General features: G+C 37.4%; 1 protein-coding gene across 9 annotated transcripts in view, besides 1 other annotated feature; it reads right to left on the reverse strand.

The window, feature by feature from the left end:
- The window catches only part of MEIS2 (Meis homeobox 2), a 212,108-nt gene that overhangs the window by 44,961 nt on the left and 149,793 nt on the right, over window positions 1-17,354 (reverse strand). For 8 of the 9 annotated variants that reach the window (NM_002399.4, NM_001220482.2, NM_170676.5 and 5 more), the window contains one exon: window positions 16,160-16,236. The exons of the other annotated variant lie outside the window; for it this stretch is intronic. In NM_002399.4, the coding sequence (NP_002390.1) occupies window positions 16,160-16,236 (77 nt within the window). The remainder of the gene's footprint in view (window positions 1-16,159; window positions 16,237-17,354) is intronic. 9 annotated transcript variants of the gene reach the window in all.
- Window positions 14,440-16,133: an enhancer, noted in NCBI's record as "VISTA enhancer hs181". NCBI's record gives its function as "enhancer in: midbrain (mesencephalon)[4/4]" and the evidence as "EXISTENCE:transgenic organism evidence [ECO:0001131][PMID:17130149]".

A 17,354-nucleotide genomic window follows, 5' to 3' on the forward strand; every position in this document is an offset into this window, starting at 1 on the left:
GCATGACTAGAGCCAGGAAGAAATACATGCCAGCATAATTATATGAACAGTTGAAATTTAAACATATTGAAAAGGAGAGGAGAACATATCCACCCATTTGTGTTTTTTTTTTTCCTCCGTAACAATTCCAAAGATGAGTAATTTCTTTTCATAGAGTCAGGCTGAAGGCACAAAGCTTTAACATTCAAAGGAGGGAGGTAGGGGGAAAAGAAGCTTTTTTAAGTACTGTGCAAATCAATACACAAAAAATTCTCAAGATGATAGTTTAATTAAAACGTGCACAAGGCAATTCATCAGCCTCTTCCCTTGGTGTACTAGCCTCTAGAATTTGCCTTCTGCTTTCTGATCCCTGATGGTTTTAACTTGAAGGCATTTAAAATACCGTTCAACGGGCACCTTTCCACTTATCTTACATTCCTTGTTTTTCTTTATAAACAAGTAATTGTACTGGCTTTGTGATGTTTGTTATGCTTCATGCTTTTTCATCTCCTGTATGAGCTTTGCCTAGCATGAAATGCTGTCATGCAGTGAAATTTACCTGAGAGCTAAAGGGAGAAAGAAAAATCTTCCAAGTGTATGTGGTTACAAGTTCATAGCCAGCTAAATCACTGGCAATTTTATGCTACCAGTTATTTCAATTTAGATGTTTGTAAAAGTACATCTAAAAATAAAATAACCACTCCCATAGTCATCAAAATGAAAAATCTGCTTGGATTAGAATACATTGTAAGTTGTTTTAAACTACCATGTGGGAATGTTAATATTATTCAATTCCTATTATATAGTGTTCTAGGGATACCTTGGCAGAGACATAAAGCTACTGAACTCTTGGCTCCTTAATAGTTTGACTCCCATTGTAATTGCTTTGTTCACTCGCTGCCCTGGGTCTTCATAATTGGTTAGAGTCCAAGGTCACAGATTCAGTATGGTAGTGGGAGCCACTTAGCTGGTTGTTAAGTTTCCAATGGTAGCTTGTTTTCAGTTAGTATTATCTTTTTTCCAGATTGAGAAATTCTTTTTTCTTTTTTTTTTTTTTTTTAGCGGAGGAGAAATTCTTCTTTTCATTAAATAATCTAGGTATGTGCCTATGATGTTTTTGTTCAGCCTCCCTCCCCAACTTCTGCATACAGCAATTTTTAAGCCAAAAGCCATCCAGTAATATATTCAGCCCAAACCCAAACTAAATTTTTTGAAGACTTGTTGAGGTTCCTTAAATGTTGCATTTTTTTTTAATTACAAATATCCATTTGGATGGACTGTAAATATTTCATTTAATAAAATTTGTTTAAAACATCTCAATTCAGTGTCTTAGTTATTAATTTTTCAAAACATTCATGAACACAAAAATCTAATAATAATCAGGAAAGAGAGAGCTTTAACTTTTCTTAAAACCAAGGTTACAACAGCAATATAAAGTTACGTAGAAAAGAAGCTCATCATATGATCATACTGCATCCTTTAATGTATTATTTTTTTCTTTCTGAGATAATTTAACAATTGAAATGAAAAAACTTTGGAGGCAGTGTGTGGTGTATTAGAAATGACTCTGGATCTGGGGCCTTGATCTGTTTGACTATGGCTTTATCTCTAATGCCCTCAGAAAATCATTTTCCCCCTCTGTATCTCAGTTTTTTTTTTTAAATAAAATTAGAGTTTTAGGTTCAATTATCTAAAATATCTTTCCCACTTATAATTTATTTTATTTACATTAGCCAATATTTAGCTCAGTTAAGAGCTTCACTTTATAAGCAACTATTCAGAATTGACAGGAATATTATTTTACATTATGAATTCCCCATTACCTGCAAATAAAGCATTAGTACCATTGAACAGTTTTTGCTGCTCAGATAAGACCCTTTAGGGCATCTTTTAATACAGACATCAAATATTTTACTTGCTCTGTCTGCATTTATTCGATAAGTATTAGGTGAGTTTCCTACTATGTACCAGGCACTATGGCAGGCACCCAGGATCTTGGATGGCAAATCGACCACAGTTTCTGCCTGCAAGGAGTGGGAGGTGCATTTTCTTTCTTTTTTTTTTTTTTTGAGATAGAGAATTGCTCTGTCGCCCAGGCTGGAGTGCAGTGGTGCGATCTCGGCTCACTGCAAGCTCCGCCTCCCGGGGTTCACGCCTTTCTCCTGCCTCAGCCTCCCGAGTAGCTGGGACTACAGGTGCCTGTCACCACGCCCAGCTAATTTTTGGTATTTTTAGTAGAGATGGGGTTTCACCATGGTAGCCAGGATGGTCTCGATCTCCTGAGGGAGGTGCATTTTCTTAATGGAGCAAAACTTTTCTTCAGTTAGTTTGACAGTTTCTATAAAGTTGATGGTAAACAACCATTTCTCCTTTCCTGAGCACAGGCTTGTCCAAAAGTGAGTGCAATTGAGTTTTGGTAGAGGAATGTGTTCCTGAGAACCATGTGAAAGATGTATTATAAAATGTAGTTCTACTGTAATTATGAACTGACTATATTTGATATTGTATTCAATGCACTTCTTTAAATAAAGATTTAAGAGTCACAAAATAACATATTCTCATAAAATGACTCAACCTGTTATACTATTCCTTTTTATTATGAATGCCCAGTTTTCTGAGGAAATTGTACAATTTTCATGTATTTCTCCAAATATAGTCAGGACTGGATGGATAACAAGGATGATTCATTCATTGCATTCAAGGGGAAAAGATAACTGTTTTCAGAAGAATTTCAAACTCATTAAAAAGCATTTGTTTGAGATCCAAGGGTTCCTCTGTATTAGTGTTAACCAATGAGAAGACCTGACAAGGAATATGCTTATTTTTGAAAGACTTCTTGATACAGATGAACTTTGGCAATAACAATATGTCAACACAAACGGTGAACAAGCAACCCATGAAAGAGGCCCTTAGGAAATAGATTGTTTAGTGAGTGGGTGAAGGAAAGACTGATTAAACTGTGTTTTGAGGTGGGATATGATATTGGAGGTACACCACAAATGTCCCACTGATTTATATATTTAAATAGCAAAGGTATAGTGACTTGCAGATTCTCAAATTTGTCCCTCCCTTGTTGTTTGGTCAGGAATTAACAAAATAGACAGTCCTCAAAATATCAACGTCTAGAGTCACTCTAGACAACCTTGACAAATGAAGGTGACTGGGTGAAGAAATCATTTGGTCTGATCATCTCAATAATTCCAAATTCAATAGCTTTTTGTGAAACGCTACATGTAACTTTGACCTGGTATGTGAGTTTGTTTGCTCTTCTGAATAGGGGTATCTACCTTGCAAGAAGGGATTTAAGAAACAGCTTATCAAAATACCAGGATAAGGCACTGTGCACAGTTTCTACATAAAAGCTAAATAAGATATACTTTTTATAAGATGGTATTTCATTTTTCACTACTGCTGCCTTTTAAAAATTTATAAATTGCTATGAAAGTGACAAGCCAAAATTGTATGAATGGTCACTGTTGAAGCAAATTACTTTAGAGTGGAACTCACCCACAGCAAAATGTCTATGCTTTCCACAGCCAGATCAACAACATACTATTAGGAAGATTTTTGTTGTTGTTGTTTTGCTGTGGACCTGTTAGGGATCAGGATGCTACAAAGAGAAACAAACAAACAAAAAAAAACCATGATGTAATTCCACACTCTTAAAAGACTTTTTACCCTCACAACTATGGAAAATTGGGGGTTGTCTATTTGAGTCAAAATTTTTATGACACAAAAAGTTTACTCATTTATTATCCTATGTAAACTTGCAAGAGGAAAGGCAGGCTTCTTACTTTGCCTACTATTCCATTTTTATGAAGAATTTTGTGCTTTAAATAGATGTCAAACTTTTTTTTTCTCCAACCCTAGTTGGTCTTTCCACAGTTGGAGATTTTAAACGATGTTTGAAATTTGGTTCTATATAGCTTTCTGCCTTAGGAAGGTCCTCTATGCCTAGATATGGTATGTCCTTTTCAGGGACCCTCTAAATCAAAGTGTGGCTTTGCCCCTGCGACCCAAGCTCCTCCAAGCACCCGCTGTCACCAAAGCCTCCTCTCTTTTTCTGGATGAGCTCATCTGCTCCCAGGACTGCAATAACATCTATACCCTCAGACCTACCTTTCCCTCCCCTTGTGCGGTCCCACAGTGCTTCCTGTTATTCTGACCTCTTTCCCTACAGGGCTCATCTTTATTTTATGCTACCTATTGTGAAAACAAAATCATCTTCCCAGAGAAACCATCAGGCCCCACTCAGATCTGCTGTCATTGTGGAAAGAATCCCCAAGCCCCTGCTCCCAGGGGCCAGAGCCCAGAGTTGTAGCTCCTTTTTCTATTTTCGTCCCATGCTGAATTAGCCACCAAAACCTGCCACAGTTATAACAATAGAGATAAAATCGGTTTCTTTTTCTTCATTTTAATAGCTAAATCTCTGATTCAGGTTCTGTGTAAGTCACCTATCATCTACCACGACTGGCCTCTGCATCTCTTGTTCTAATCAATTCAAAATACAATGGTTAAAATCGTTTTTCCTCTCACTTGCTTTGGCTAGACTTTTATTTTCAGTTCACAGGCTTAGAATCATAAAATATTAGAATTTTAAAGATAGAAAGGACCTTAAAAATCACCCAGTCCCCATTCTCTTATGGACGAGGGAATAGACACTGAGAAAGGCTAAACTGACCAAGATCACACAAGTTGTTTGAGCTGGAATTAGACCCAAGCTGCTGATGTCCAGCCCGTTCTCTTTCACGCACCACACTGCATCGTCTTTTGTCAAACACTGAACCTTCCTCCATGCTGTCCCCGCTGCAGCTCTGTGGACAGGGGTGTCAGCCTTTCTCACTGGACCTCGTGCACTTGCAAATGTCTTTCTCTCATCAGGCAGAGCTGGTTCCTCCCAGACTCCTTTACTCAATTTCCCTACTTCCATGGTCTCTCGTACTATTTCCATATGACTACTAAAACAGTTCTTCCTGATTCAAAACTAACTTCCAATCTAATCTCCTCCAAGAAAATGCATGCTAATAGCTACCCTCTCACCTCAATAACTGGCTTTCATGCATGTTTACTTCTCCAGCCCACTCTCTAGCTTATTTGAATTCAACCCAACGAAAAGTTATGCATACCTACTAAGAGTTATACACTGCGGTTCTGAATAATCCCTTTGTCACATAAAAGGCAGAAAAAAAATCCCAAAGCAATCTGGCAATTATTTCAGATGGTCAACTAGTTTGGAAACAGAGCCAAAGGTCAGGGCTGTCACTCATAAAACACAACCTACTTTTATTCTGGTGTGATGTCTAGGAGAACCATTTTCTCTTTGGATCCATTTTGCTGTCTTTGCAAGTGTTGCTATTGGGCTATGGAAGAGTTTCTAGGAAGGTCTAGCAATAGAGGTCCTTATTTTTTTTTTTTAATTTGTTAATGATTTACTGGTGTTATTGGGAAAATCATACCATCTCCATGATGTGCCAATTTTCTCAAGAAATTGTACCTGTTTATCCTCAGAACAAATACAATTCATTGTAATATACTGCAAGGGGCTCGCCCACAATTGCTTAATAAAATTGTGTCATTAAAAGTATTATTTAAAATTAGTGAACTACTGCCTGGGCTGGAAATTTTTATTGTATAAAGATTTTCTGTTGTAATGGGATTTGACTTATTTATAATATCTAAAATTCTGAATTCACCTCATCACTAACTTGATGGTAAATTGGCAGGCATTACTTACTTAGGGTATGGGACGGGTAAGCTTTCCTTCTGTGGCCAAATTATTGGCAAGTCTTTCATTAATCAAGTGGAAGATAAATTGCGATGGCAGGATATTGGTTCCCATGGATAATCTAAGGACATGACACTCTTACATAGTAACAGATGCTCAAATCCCTAGGGATATAGCATCCTGAAAATGTTACCCTAAGTAGGAGCTACAAGTACTGGTTGCTGAGATGGAACCAAAGTATGGATGTGCCTTATCTGCAGAGCTTTGGAACTGGGGCATTTTTTTAGTCTGTGGGTTATGGCCCCATTTCCAGGAAAATCTATCTGAGCCTAATGTAACCTAGCAAATCTTTCAAATGAAATAGTCTTGCGGGAGGCAAGTTGTCAGTTTCTGACATATTATTTAGAGCTCAGTTCAGGTTTCCTTCTTTCTTCTTTCCCTACTTAAACCCCCTGCTCATTCTCCATAAGCGCCATTTTCTAATTAAGGAAAATGAAATTTGTAATGTGTAGAAGGGAGACATGACCTCCCTTGCCAGCCAGTCTCGCTCCTCCCTGCACACCATTAAAAATAGAATCCAGGGGTGGTTGTTTTTTTAATTGGTATCACTTTGTCTTTAGTGCAAAACACATGGCAATAATTTAGTGAACTCCAGTGTTTCTCTTGTGGCAAATTGATAGCATAATTTTATTATGAGTGGAACAATGACTTCTGGGAGCAGGAGAGATTCTCTCAGAACTACACATAACTCGGTTGACTAAATGTAATACTTGGAGAAGGTAATGAGAATAGAGCCAGGGCTCAGCAAGGACTAGAAGATTTCAGTTTCTCACTCCTGTCAAAAGGCTACTCAATAAATCATACCTGAAGCTTATTTAATGTCAGAAGCCAGTAAGCTGACAAAGTGCATTGGGGTGCTCACCTCAGAAAAGGCACACGGAGTCATGTGATCTCTGGTCCCTGGACTTGATGGGGTCATAGAATCCATCTATGGATTTTAATAAGTAACCTATTATGTTCCCTTTGGTGCTAATTATTTTACACATCACTTGTTTCCTGTTTACTGACATTGCTTCAGTAATTTCATTATGAAAAAAGAATCACAAGGAAAGTTAATCCCTATGACTTTTGCCATTCTATTCCACAGGCAGTTTCTGCTTTTCTCCCCCTCCATTCTTCTTCTGCAGCAACCCATTCCACCTAACACAAACACGGAAACACAGAATCCATGGGAACATCACAGGATAACAGGAAACCTGCAATGAGCAAAGCCAAGCAAAGAGCTACCCTGAGTTACACAGATCCAAGACTATCAGGATTTAGTAACTCACGGCTAAGAAAGTATTTGGAATTTACCCTAACTAACCCAGCCTCAGGTCACCCAGGAAACCTGTGACCAAATTCCATGGTGCTAATTTCTACAACCTTTATGAAAAGGAAATTTGCCCATGGGCACTCAAGAATCCCTGTGCATCCTTTTAACTGCATTGACAAAGAAAACTATGAGAATCAGATCAAAACAACAACCACAACCACTACCACCACCACCATGACTATTTTGCCCACCTCCTTATGCATTGTGTTGCATGCAGGTTGAGTATGCTTATCCATCAGACTACTGGAATCAGAATCTTCTCTTTTGGAAGAGCGTATTTTTCTGAATTTTAGAAAACCATGTGCAGAGATCAAGAAAGGTAGCATGTGTTTTATAATTTTTAAGTGAACTAATATCCAAAATCTAGGTTCAAAATATAAGACAGTTTGACTTTGAAATTACCAAAATGTCAATACTGGATAGGTAAAAGTATACAAACATCTGTGACCATCTCTGTAAAGGAGATCAATCTATCAATCACGGAAAAAGGATTTCTCTAGCAGGCATTCTTACAAGATACTCTTAGTCAAGGAAGACCCATTCCTTCCTCAAGAATTGAGTTGAAACCATTAAGCCAAGACCATTAAAGAGATTTTTCACGTGTGGGTTTTGAAGTAGATTTGAATCCAGATCTTTGGGGATTAATTCACTATTCCATCCACTCCTTGAGTAATTACTGCTAAAGTTGGTTGCTTATCTAAAGGCTTTAAGGAAGTTTGGAACTTAGGAGGTCGACATTAAACAGCCTGAAACCTCAGCCTGCAGGGACTTATCTAAAAGATAAAGTGTATCTAGAGACACAGGGAAATCTCATATCTCTAAATGTTTACCTTGCAAAGGAAAAAAGAGAAAGAACCTTGCATGTGTTTCAGCCTGAGTGCAGAATTAAGGATTCTGGATGAGGGCTGGGAGTTAGCTGAAAATCTCCACCGAATGATCAGTCAGCAATGACGATTCTGATTTATGCACAAAACCAAAACAAAACAAAACTGGAAACAAGGTTTTCTATTATAATTACAGTAAAAACAGTGAAGTAGGAAAAAGACTTGGAGAAAGCAATATTTTTTACAAAGTAAGGCTCTATGTATTTTTCTACCCAGGTTTCTAATAATTTTGCAGATTAGAAAATGATTTTCCTTATTTAGAGAATAGAGGGAACAATTCTGAGTGTCGCGAATTGGGCGGAATTCCTGGAGTAAGCACCAGGAAGCGCCACCTAACCGATGCTCACTCTCTTATACTTGAAAAATCCAACACAATGAAAACAACAGCAACAACAACAAAACAAGTCCTCAAGATCACGAGGTTAATAGGACCTACATTTACTCATTACCAGAGCAGATTCTCAATTAAGTAATTTTTAGAAGGCTGCTCTCCAGTGAATCAATGCATTGAATGAATGAGTGAAGTGAAAGAGGATCTGGTCTAAAGACTATTCATAAAGCACTTATTTCTCTGAGAGTGAATTTTTGGAAAGAACTTAAAGACTACTCAATACTGTGGGTAATGGAAGAAATGAGAAAAAAAAATTACTGGTAAAGGCACCACCATAGTAAAAAGGACTGAAGATTCAGAACCAGGCTATGGCCCCCAAGACTCTTATTTTTAAGAGTAAAAAAATTAGAGAAAGTAAACAATATGATATTGGTATATTCTGATCTATCTTTTTACCTTCCTTTCAATAGCTTCTAATTTAGGGGCTTGTTTAAATTTTGCATTTACAAGCCCCCTTTCTATTTTCTGCCTTCTAGAAAATAAGTTAGAGGGTAATTTGAAAATTCCTTTTTTAAAAAAATGTTTTTTTAAAATACAATTTTACTTTATCCATCTGTGACTGGGGCTAGGAATACTTACTGAATCAGTTGCTATGGGATAATTGTGTAATATTTGCAATGAGTTATCTTCAACTTTTTTCCTGTTTAAAAATAAGTAAATCGCTAAGTCAATATCATTCTTTTAAATCATGCAACCCACTGAAATATAGACTTTTGTTTCTGTGTTACTTTGAGAAACCATGTAGATCATGCCAATTGAGATGGATAAAGGACTTATTTGAGCAAACTTTGTCTCCCATCCAAATACTGGTATAATGAAGTGCAGAAGTAGGTAGAGGCTTGTGCCTAACACAGGACTTGTCTGGAGTTTATTGTCTCCATCAATGAAAGAGAGGAGGATAATTCTAAAAATCTTCAAATATCAAAAAGGGTCTACGTTTTTGGCCAAATTTCTTTCCATATTTAGAGACTCTGCAAAAAATGGTTACTTTCAGCATGAGAAATTTTATCTTCCAAAAAGTTCTCATTTAAATATTTTCTTTAAGGGGCATTTTTTGGAACTGTTTCAGAAACTTGTTGCATTCCTTTTTTGTTGTTTTGTGTTTTCTCTGTAGCACTGTACTTTCCTCTAAACTAGGAACTTTTTTTCTCCCCTTATTGGCATTCCAACCCAGCAAAGAAATATGCATCCTGAGATAATGCTGCCAGCTTGCTATGAAAACCATATTTCATTCTTTCTTTGCAGAGCAAAAGGGAAAAAGCACAAAGGAGCTGGTATAATTGAATGTAAAGGATTGCAGCAAACCTCCCCTTTGAGTCCCCTCGCTGGCATTCCCTTCCTTTATTTCCCCCTCTACTCCTTTTGTTTACCACTTTTAAAAGGCTCTTGCTGAGTCTTAGCTGCTTGCCCAAATTTGGTCTGAATCTAAATTTCTGGAAATGGTACTCCCATCTCTACAAGATAGAAGGGTGTCTAGAAATGCTGGTCTGACACCGCAATGGATTGGAGGCACAGCTGCCTAGGTACAATAAATACATCCAGTGTTCGGCTCAGTGTGGGAATTTCATGAATCTGCTGCAGGAAGTAAAATGGGAAGATACGGTAATGCTTCCTCTTATTCACAATTGGTATGCCATGTGTCAATGCCCTGGTTACCCCCAGTTACATTTCCTGTAGACAGAGCAAAATGAAACCCACTTAAATTTCAGGGCGATCCCTCTGGTTAAACATTAATAATGTGTGTTTTTCTTTTAACATCTTTTAATCTCTTTCCCCGCCTTCTTTTGGTTTTCTTCTCAGAAATAATTGTAGGTCTCCAAGAAATGATTATATGACCATGGAGACAGAATGACTGGAAACTGGACAGAGATGCAAAGAGATTAGAAACTCTACTGCTAACACAAGCCCAGTTATTTCAACCCATGAGTGACTGTCGGCAAGAAAATGCTCTAGTTTAGCAAAAGACTTCATGGGGCTGGTTGGATTCACACCCCTTGGCATCTCTGCCTCTTTCCACGGCCACTGATTTTTCTGGCATAGGAAGTGATCTGAAAGAGAAGCATTTTCACCTAGAGCTCACCAAAGCTTTTTTGTATTCATTTCATCAGCATCGGCAGTTTCAGCACATTAAATGCTGACAATGAATCTAGCACCTGGCAAATCTGACTTGAGATTCAAATGGATTTTTATTCAGAAACATAGATGTTACTTGGAAATAATCACTGAAGATGGCAGCTATGCGTTTAACAAATGGCCGCGGTGGAAATTGCTGAGCAGAGAGAGGATATTTAGTCCAGCAGGCTTGTTCCCTTTAGGTTTATCTCGACCCCACCTCCCTGGTTTATCACTCTATCCTTCAATCCTTTCTCTCTTGAGATAAAAGTGTCCAGCTGTCTCTGTACCTCATTTAGATTTCTTGCACCACTGGCCAATTATTCCATATGTTTACTATGAAATTATTTTCCTCAATTCCCAGCTTACTCTTGATGTCCTAATATCACAACATATTTCCTGGTGTCTGCTCTCCTTGCAGTGGAATGACAACATACACACCTTTGAAAATGACTTTTCTTTGCTGTAAAGAAGTGCAACCTCTTCTAGCACTTACCCTGCCTCCTACTAATTAGGCTTCAAATTGGGCTTGGAGATTCACTGACCAAGGCCTGAAACTGACCCTCTGTCTTGAAACCCACCTAGAACACTATTATTGCCCTTCAAGTATAAGCAGCAAAGAAAAGCATCTGGGCACCCAAATCTATCTGGGCTGATGGATCCAGGAGGCAAATGATTGCTTTCCTTAGGCTACCACTCAGTTCCTGTCCATATTTTAATCAGGGCTGAGAAGTTCTCCTAACAATGCTACCTTTTATTTTCAGAGCACTTTTAACCTACAACATGTTTTCACACACAAATTCTCCTTTTGTGTCAGCATCATTCCATTTCACACCTTAGAAAACCAAGTCACCTGGGTGGTTAATGAGCCTTCCTGAAGGGAAAGAGAAGAAGGCTAGAAAGGGAAACTGATTCTTTTCTCTCGGCACAGTCCTTTAATCGTAATTGAACAAGCTCCTATATATTCTTGAAAAATTCATCAATGGGGCCAAATGGAAACAGGTAAAGCAAAACTGCCACTTTCCATGAAGAAGTCATACAAAGTGGGTGTTGATTATTAAAAGCTGTTAGACGTAGAATGATTGTTGTGAGACCATTTTGATGGGAAGGTGGGGCAAACAGGACACAGGTATTTAATCTCAGCTTGAGAGGCCATTATACAAAGGAACTCTCTGAACCATCTTCAACTGGAAAGTTCTTTGAAATTTCAGTTTCATGCTTTTTTATCTGGAGGCCTGGAGACAGCCTTCTATCAAGAAAGTAAATCCTTTATTCCTAGTATACCTGTATACTGTCAATAAGTCACCCTGTGTGTTGTGTTTGTTGGTATACAACTAGGCTGTAATTACTGCAGTGACATGAGTTTTTAAAAGTACAGTATTCCTTCCTTTTAAAATTAATCTGGAAATAGGAACATTTAAGTTAATATTATAATTCTGATATAGCACTGAGAAAAGTTACATGAGAACATGGAGATGTCTTATAATTTTCCTTTGTAATTTTAGCTTAAAGGATTTTAATTGTCAAAGACTTTCCTCTATTTCAATGATTACTGTTACTAAAGATGTGTATAAATGCAACTCACCAAATGACTCAAGCAAGGATTTCCTCATTTAAAAAATAACCTTCTTTGTCTTTTGTCAATAAATGCTTATAAGTATGTCTCCTGAGAAAATACCAGAGTGTTAATATCCAGAACTTTCTTTCAAAACGCCTAACCTTCACAGTTATTTGAAGCCACTTACCTCCTACAGTTCCCTAATCTTACCTCCCTGCCATCAAAGAACTGTAGAAAAAAAAAAAAAAAACTATCATCTGAGAAGCTACAAAAGTCTATCTTTGTTTAATACAGAAGTTATGCACAGTAAGTTGTCTGCACTAAATTTTTCCCCCTTAAACATGCCTATTTACCCCTGGAAGAAATCTCCATTCCTATTTGTAAGCTACTTAATGTCTTCTTTATATCATTGTATGAAATCATGTTTCTCTTTCATTTTTACAATTACTTATTTTAACTATTTTAACAATAGCTATCTTACATGCCAGCACCATACTGACCACTTAGCATGCAGAGTTTCTTAAAGTCTTACAACTATATGAGATATATATGACCATTATCTCCATTTCACAGATGAAAGCACTAAGTCTTAAAGGGGTTTAGTAATTGCTGAAGGTCAAACATCTATCAAATGGTGGAACCAGGATTTTAACCCCACACGGTCTGATTCCTGAGCCTGACTGCTTACCCATCATGCTATATTACCTTTAGAGCTTTAATCAATATTCAGTCAAATTACACCATATTTGCTTTTCCATTGCAAGGAGGTTATTCAGGTTGAGGATATTTGGTTCGTTGCTATTCCTCTCTCCTAACGCGTGTACTTTGGTTGTTTTACAGCTGATTTGACTCTCCACCAACTGACCAGCATAGAAAGTGAGTCTTATCACTTGTGATTAGCTTTGACAGTGAGGTGCACACATTGAAGATCTGGTTATCATCTTTTAAAAGAAAGTCTTAATTAGGTGATTGATGATTTATGGACTTCCAAGAGTTAACTGTAGGAAAAAATGACTGAGTGTCATAAATTTCACTCCTTTCCTGAAGCACATTTGGATTTGGTTGCATCATCACTTTCTGCATACTCCCTACTGTAAATACACTGGAAAAGTCCATTAAGATTATTTCTAGCACTGACTGCAAAGACACAAGGCATCTTTAATTCTCTTAATTATCTCCTAAACTTCCTTTTTGCTTATTTCTTCTAAAGTTCATCATTACTGGCTGATATTAACAGGTCTGTTTTTATTGCTTATTGCTCTCATCAAGTGCGTGAAGCCATGTTCCATCGCTTGTTACTACAGATGTTATTTCTCAGTGCTGCTTAACTACCCTGACCTTGTGTGGCCTTTCTATATTAAGAGGTAAGTGAGAAGCAGAACCAGAACCGCAAGTCTTCCATGATTGTCTGATTTTTATGCTTTTTTACTGCTCTAATTCCTTGGGTGCAAATCTTGCAGCACACAAGCCTAATTTCCTGGTCTCAATCGGAGAAGTGGGCATTATTTCCTAGTATAGCTGACTGAATGAGTTTGTTTAGGAACTACACTCTGATCCCCTCTGCTTTTTGACTGAGCACTCTCAGGGCCTGGAGAAATAGTTTCTAGTCCACTCTTCTCATCTCTCTTAGTGATTACTTTGTAGTTAAGAACAGTGACTGTGAGGTCTTTTGAAAGTAGATTGAATAGCTTTCTCTGTTTTGAAGCTGACTTCATCAAGGCATTGGGCAAGTTCAAAATGCACTAAAATAAGTGGTGTTCACTTTCAAATTTCTTTCTGAAATCCCCAGAAGTTTGGGCCCTACATTAAATTCTTGGTAGTTTTTTAGAGGTATTTGCTATACTATCCTCATGAGTAACACCTTATTATCAAAGTTACGGTAGCCGTTAACTAAGACTTGGACCCGAGGGCAGGATTATAGGATTTTTCTGAAGGAAGTGTGAAAATTAGGAAGATGGAATTATTTTGTAGAGACAGAAGTGTCAACGTTTATGCTGTATTATGGGAAGTATGCTGTGTGACAGACTGTCACATCCTAACCCTTGGCATTCTGTGGCAAATATGGCTCAAATAATAGAGAAACAAGAAACCTAAACTCTCACACTCACTGAACTCCGTGTATATGCCTTGGGGCTCAATGGAATTCAGAAAGGAAGGGTGTTCTTTCCAGTTCCAGCCAGGTGTCTAATTGTGGGAAATGCTAGATTGTAGATTCTAAAAATTCTTCATTCTTCAGGTGCGAAGAGTATATCAAAAACTATAGGTAATGGATGATAAGGAACAGTATTTTCAAAAAGAACAAGATCAAATATCAATGCCAAATATCCATGCGGAAATTTTATTTTTCTCAGAAATTCCCATCACAAGCTCCCTCAATTGCCTCAAATGTACAAAAATTATGATTCTAAAGCAATGTTAACTGCGTCATGGACCAATGTGTATATATTAGCTCAGTCTGGTAATCAGTATGCTATAAAAGAATGTGCAGAGCAAACAAGTCTCCTGTAGTTAACAAAGAATACATTTATTTTACTGTTTCAGACCACTGATAACTTGTGCTAGGAACATAAATGAGAATATGTATGTTTACATATATATTTACACTATGAAGCGCCTATCAATGTATAATCACATACACATCCCCCTCCAGAGGGGGATGTACTGCCTTTATTCCAAGTTTTTGGTCTAAAGGGTGTCTTTAAATGTACACAGTTCCAATCTTTAGAAGAAAATTAAAGTGAATTCAAGTCTGTATTGTCTATCTTTTCTTTCTGCCTTTCTTTTCAGGTTAGCAGTTTATTTCTGCATTAATCACCCTGACAGAAGCAAGGCAACTCAATTTTCTGCTTCTGTAGGTAGGCACATCACTTTCTGTACAGCACTAGGCATGAAAAGGACTGCAGCTAAGCTTTGGTTACTGGTGTAATTGAAATGCTATCCACACTATAGGGTGCATTAAAGTCAGATAACGGCAGTTCCTGTGGCCAATTTAAGTAGCTTGACTTCCCTGGGAAAAAAAAAAATTGCCTGACAGATAAGGCAGACAAACTGGCTAATTCTCCAAGCATGTCTCTCATTGTGATCCTAGAAAAATGAGAAAAAAATGAATCACAGAACCACAAAATCAATTGACCCTCGGGTAGCTCATCAGGCAGCGAGCCTGATAAACCTAAAAGCTTTGTTAATGTCTGCCTGCCTGTATCCCACAGATAGAGCACTTTGTAAATGAACCTGCTTTGATAAATATATTAAGGAAAGCTGTGAATAAAGGCAGAGACTTCTCATTTGTAAATACAACCTCTGCTACATGGAATTAGAATGATAAAATGGAGTTCCATGTAATTAAGTTTGTATAAGGCCTGAAATCCGTGCAAATACTTTCCCTGAATTTTGAAAGAGAACTGTCAGTTCAATTAATCTGAACATCACCCCAAGAATGTACTGAACAAAATTAAGCTGCTGATAAAACCTGGGCCAGTATTTTGATAAGTAATTCCTATATCATTTCTTGGCCACTGTGATCATTTTATTTAATCCTCTGCCCCTCCTTTTCCTCAGTTACCCTCTAAGCCGTGTACAAAGGGTGGATGGTCCATACACCAGCACGGGAGTAATCTACCAAATCGCAAAAATGGAAAAACCTTTTCTCCTATTTAAAAAAATATTAGGGTAAATAAATTTCTATTAGGAGATACTAAAAAGCCTGTATCTACATCACCGCTCAAAGCCAAGACAAAAGAATCCTTTCCAGAACTGGTAACTCCGTATGAGGACTGTGCAAAAACCCGCGGAGTGACTACTTTCAATAGGAATGACCTGAACAGAATTTGTGGCTCAATTCGAGAATTTTAAAGCATCAGAGATGGGAAAAGTGAGGTGGAGAGGAAGAGTGATAGAGAAGAAGAGAAAAGAAAGAGGGAGAGAGAAAAAGAAAAGGAATAAATCCTACAAAAACCATTTCCCTAGGTTACCTTTTCCTCTCCCTAATCACCCCTTTCACACCTCGAGGTAGAAACACAGAAGTTATCCTCCTCGATTTCATTTGTTTTAGAAAAAAAAAAAAAAGAGAGAAAACCATTATTTAGAAATCTCATTTTAGCCATGGGAGAAAGACATTGATTTTTGGGTCACTCACCAGTTGTTTACTTGGAGAATTGTAAGTCCTGTGTCTTGCGCTAACTGTTTCTTCTGCTCTTCGGAAGGGTACGGATGCTAATGGAAAAACAAATGTTTTAAAAGATGGATCAGAAGTTAAGAAAGAGTCACTTACTTCTAAGAATAAAACCACCGTTGGTGATTTCTTTAGTCTATGGCTTGATTTTCCTACTTGCATCTTTTTTATCATGTGTTGAGAAATGTGGGCAGGGACAAGAACCCAGAAACCTGTATTAGCAGCCCCATGTTTCTGTCATACTCTGTAGGGCCAGCAGTAAAAAGCAAGGAGTTTAAGTTATGCAATTTCTTTAATCAGTCAGAATGCAAAGCACTTTTGTGATGGTGTCAGAATTTTGGTCATCTAACTCGCTTCTGTTGCACTAAAGGAACTGGTTTCAGGCCCCTTTTACTCTCCTCCCTAGACAGCCTATGTAAAGCCCTTATTCTAAATTATCTTTGTGAGATGGCTCAATATAATCATCCTTCTCTAGTTAAATTTGAGATTATTGACAGTAAAAGTTTAGAAAGTGAGGTAGTATATAATCACAACTATTCTTGTAAGCCATGGCAACTGATTCAATTACAACACAGTTTACTTACAGTATATTTATGTTGACTCCTTTATGGGACAACAGAAGATTCTTTCATTGTTACTGTTACTGCTCTAACAGGGTCACACCCAATGATCACACAGCAAAAGGAGCCAATTATGTGCAATACTTCATATAGAAATTTTACATTTTACCTTCAACTACAACAATAAGAGAATGAAGCCATAGGTTTTGGTGTTTTCTAATTCTTCACTTCCTATCGAAATTCACCAACATTTATAATGAACAGTTCTTCCATTATCAAGACACTTTCCTCTCTGATTCTAAAATCAAGGATTGTTAGTTTAGACCCATACCTTTATTTTAAAAGACACTGTACTGGGTATACATAATTATGAAATATGTCTATTAAATAGGTCCCTGCTCTAAATTCACTGATTTTCTTAAACAAAAAAGTAAACTTTTATCTAGCATGTCAAAGTCATTCATAAAGTAGAAAGCCTTTTGTAATAAATACTTCCCATCAACATTATTAGAGGGTGACATTAGGAACAACAAAGTATTCCATTCAGAATATTCTAATCATTCCAGTATTTGAGAGAGTGAATGTTTTTCAATCATCTA

Source organism: Homo sapiens, chromosome 15 (assembly GCF_000001405.40).
Source record: "Homo sapiens chromosome 15, GRCh38.p14 Primary Assembly".
Taxonomy (NCBI): Eukaryota; Metazoa; Chordata; class Mammalia; order Primates; family Hominidae; genus Homo; species Homo sapiens.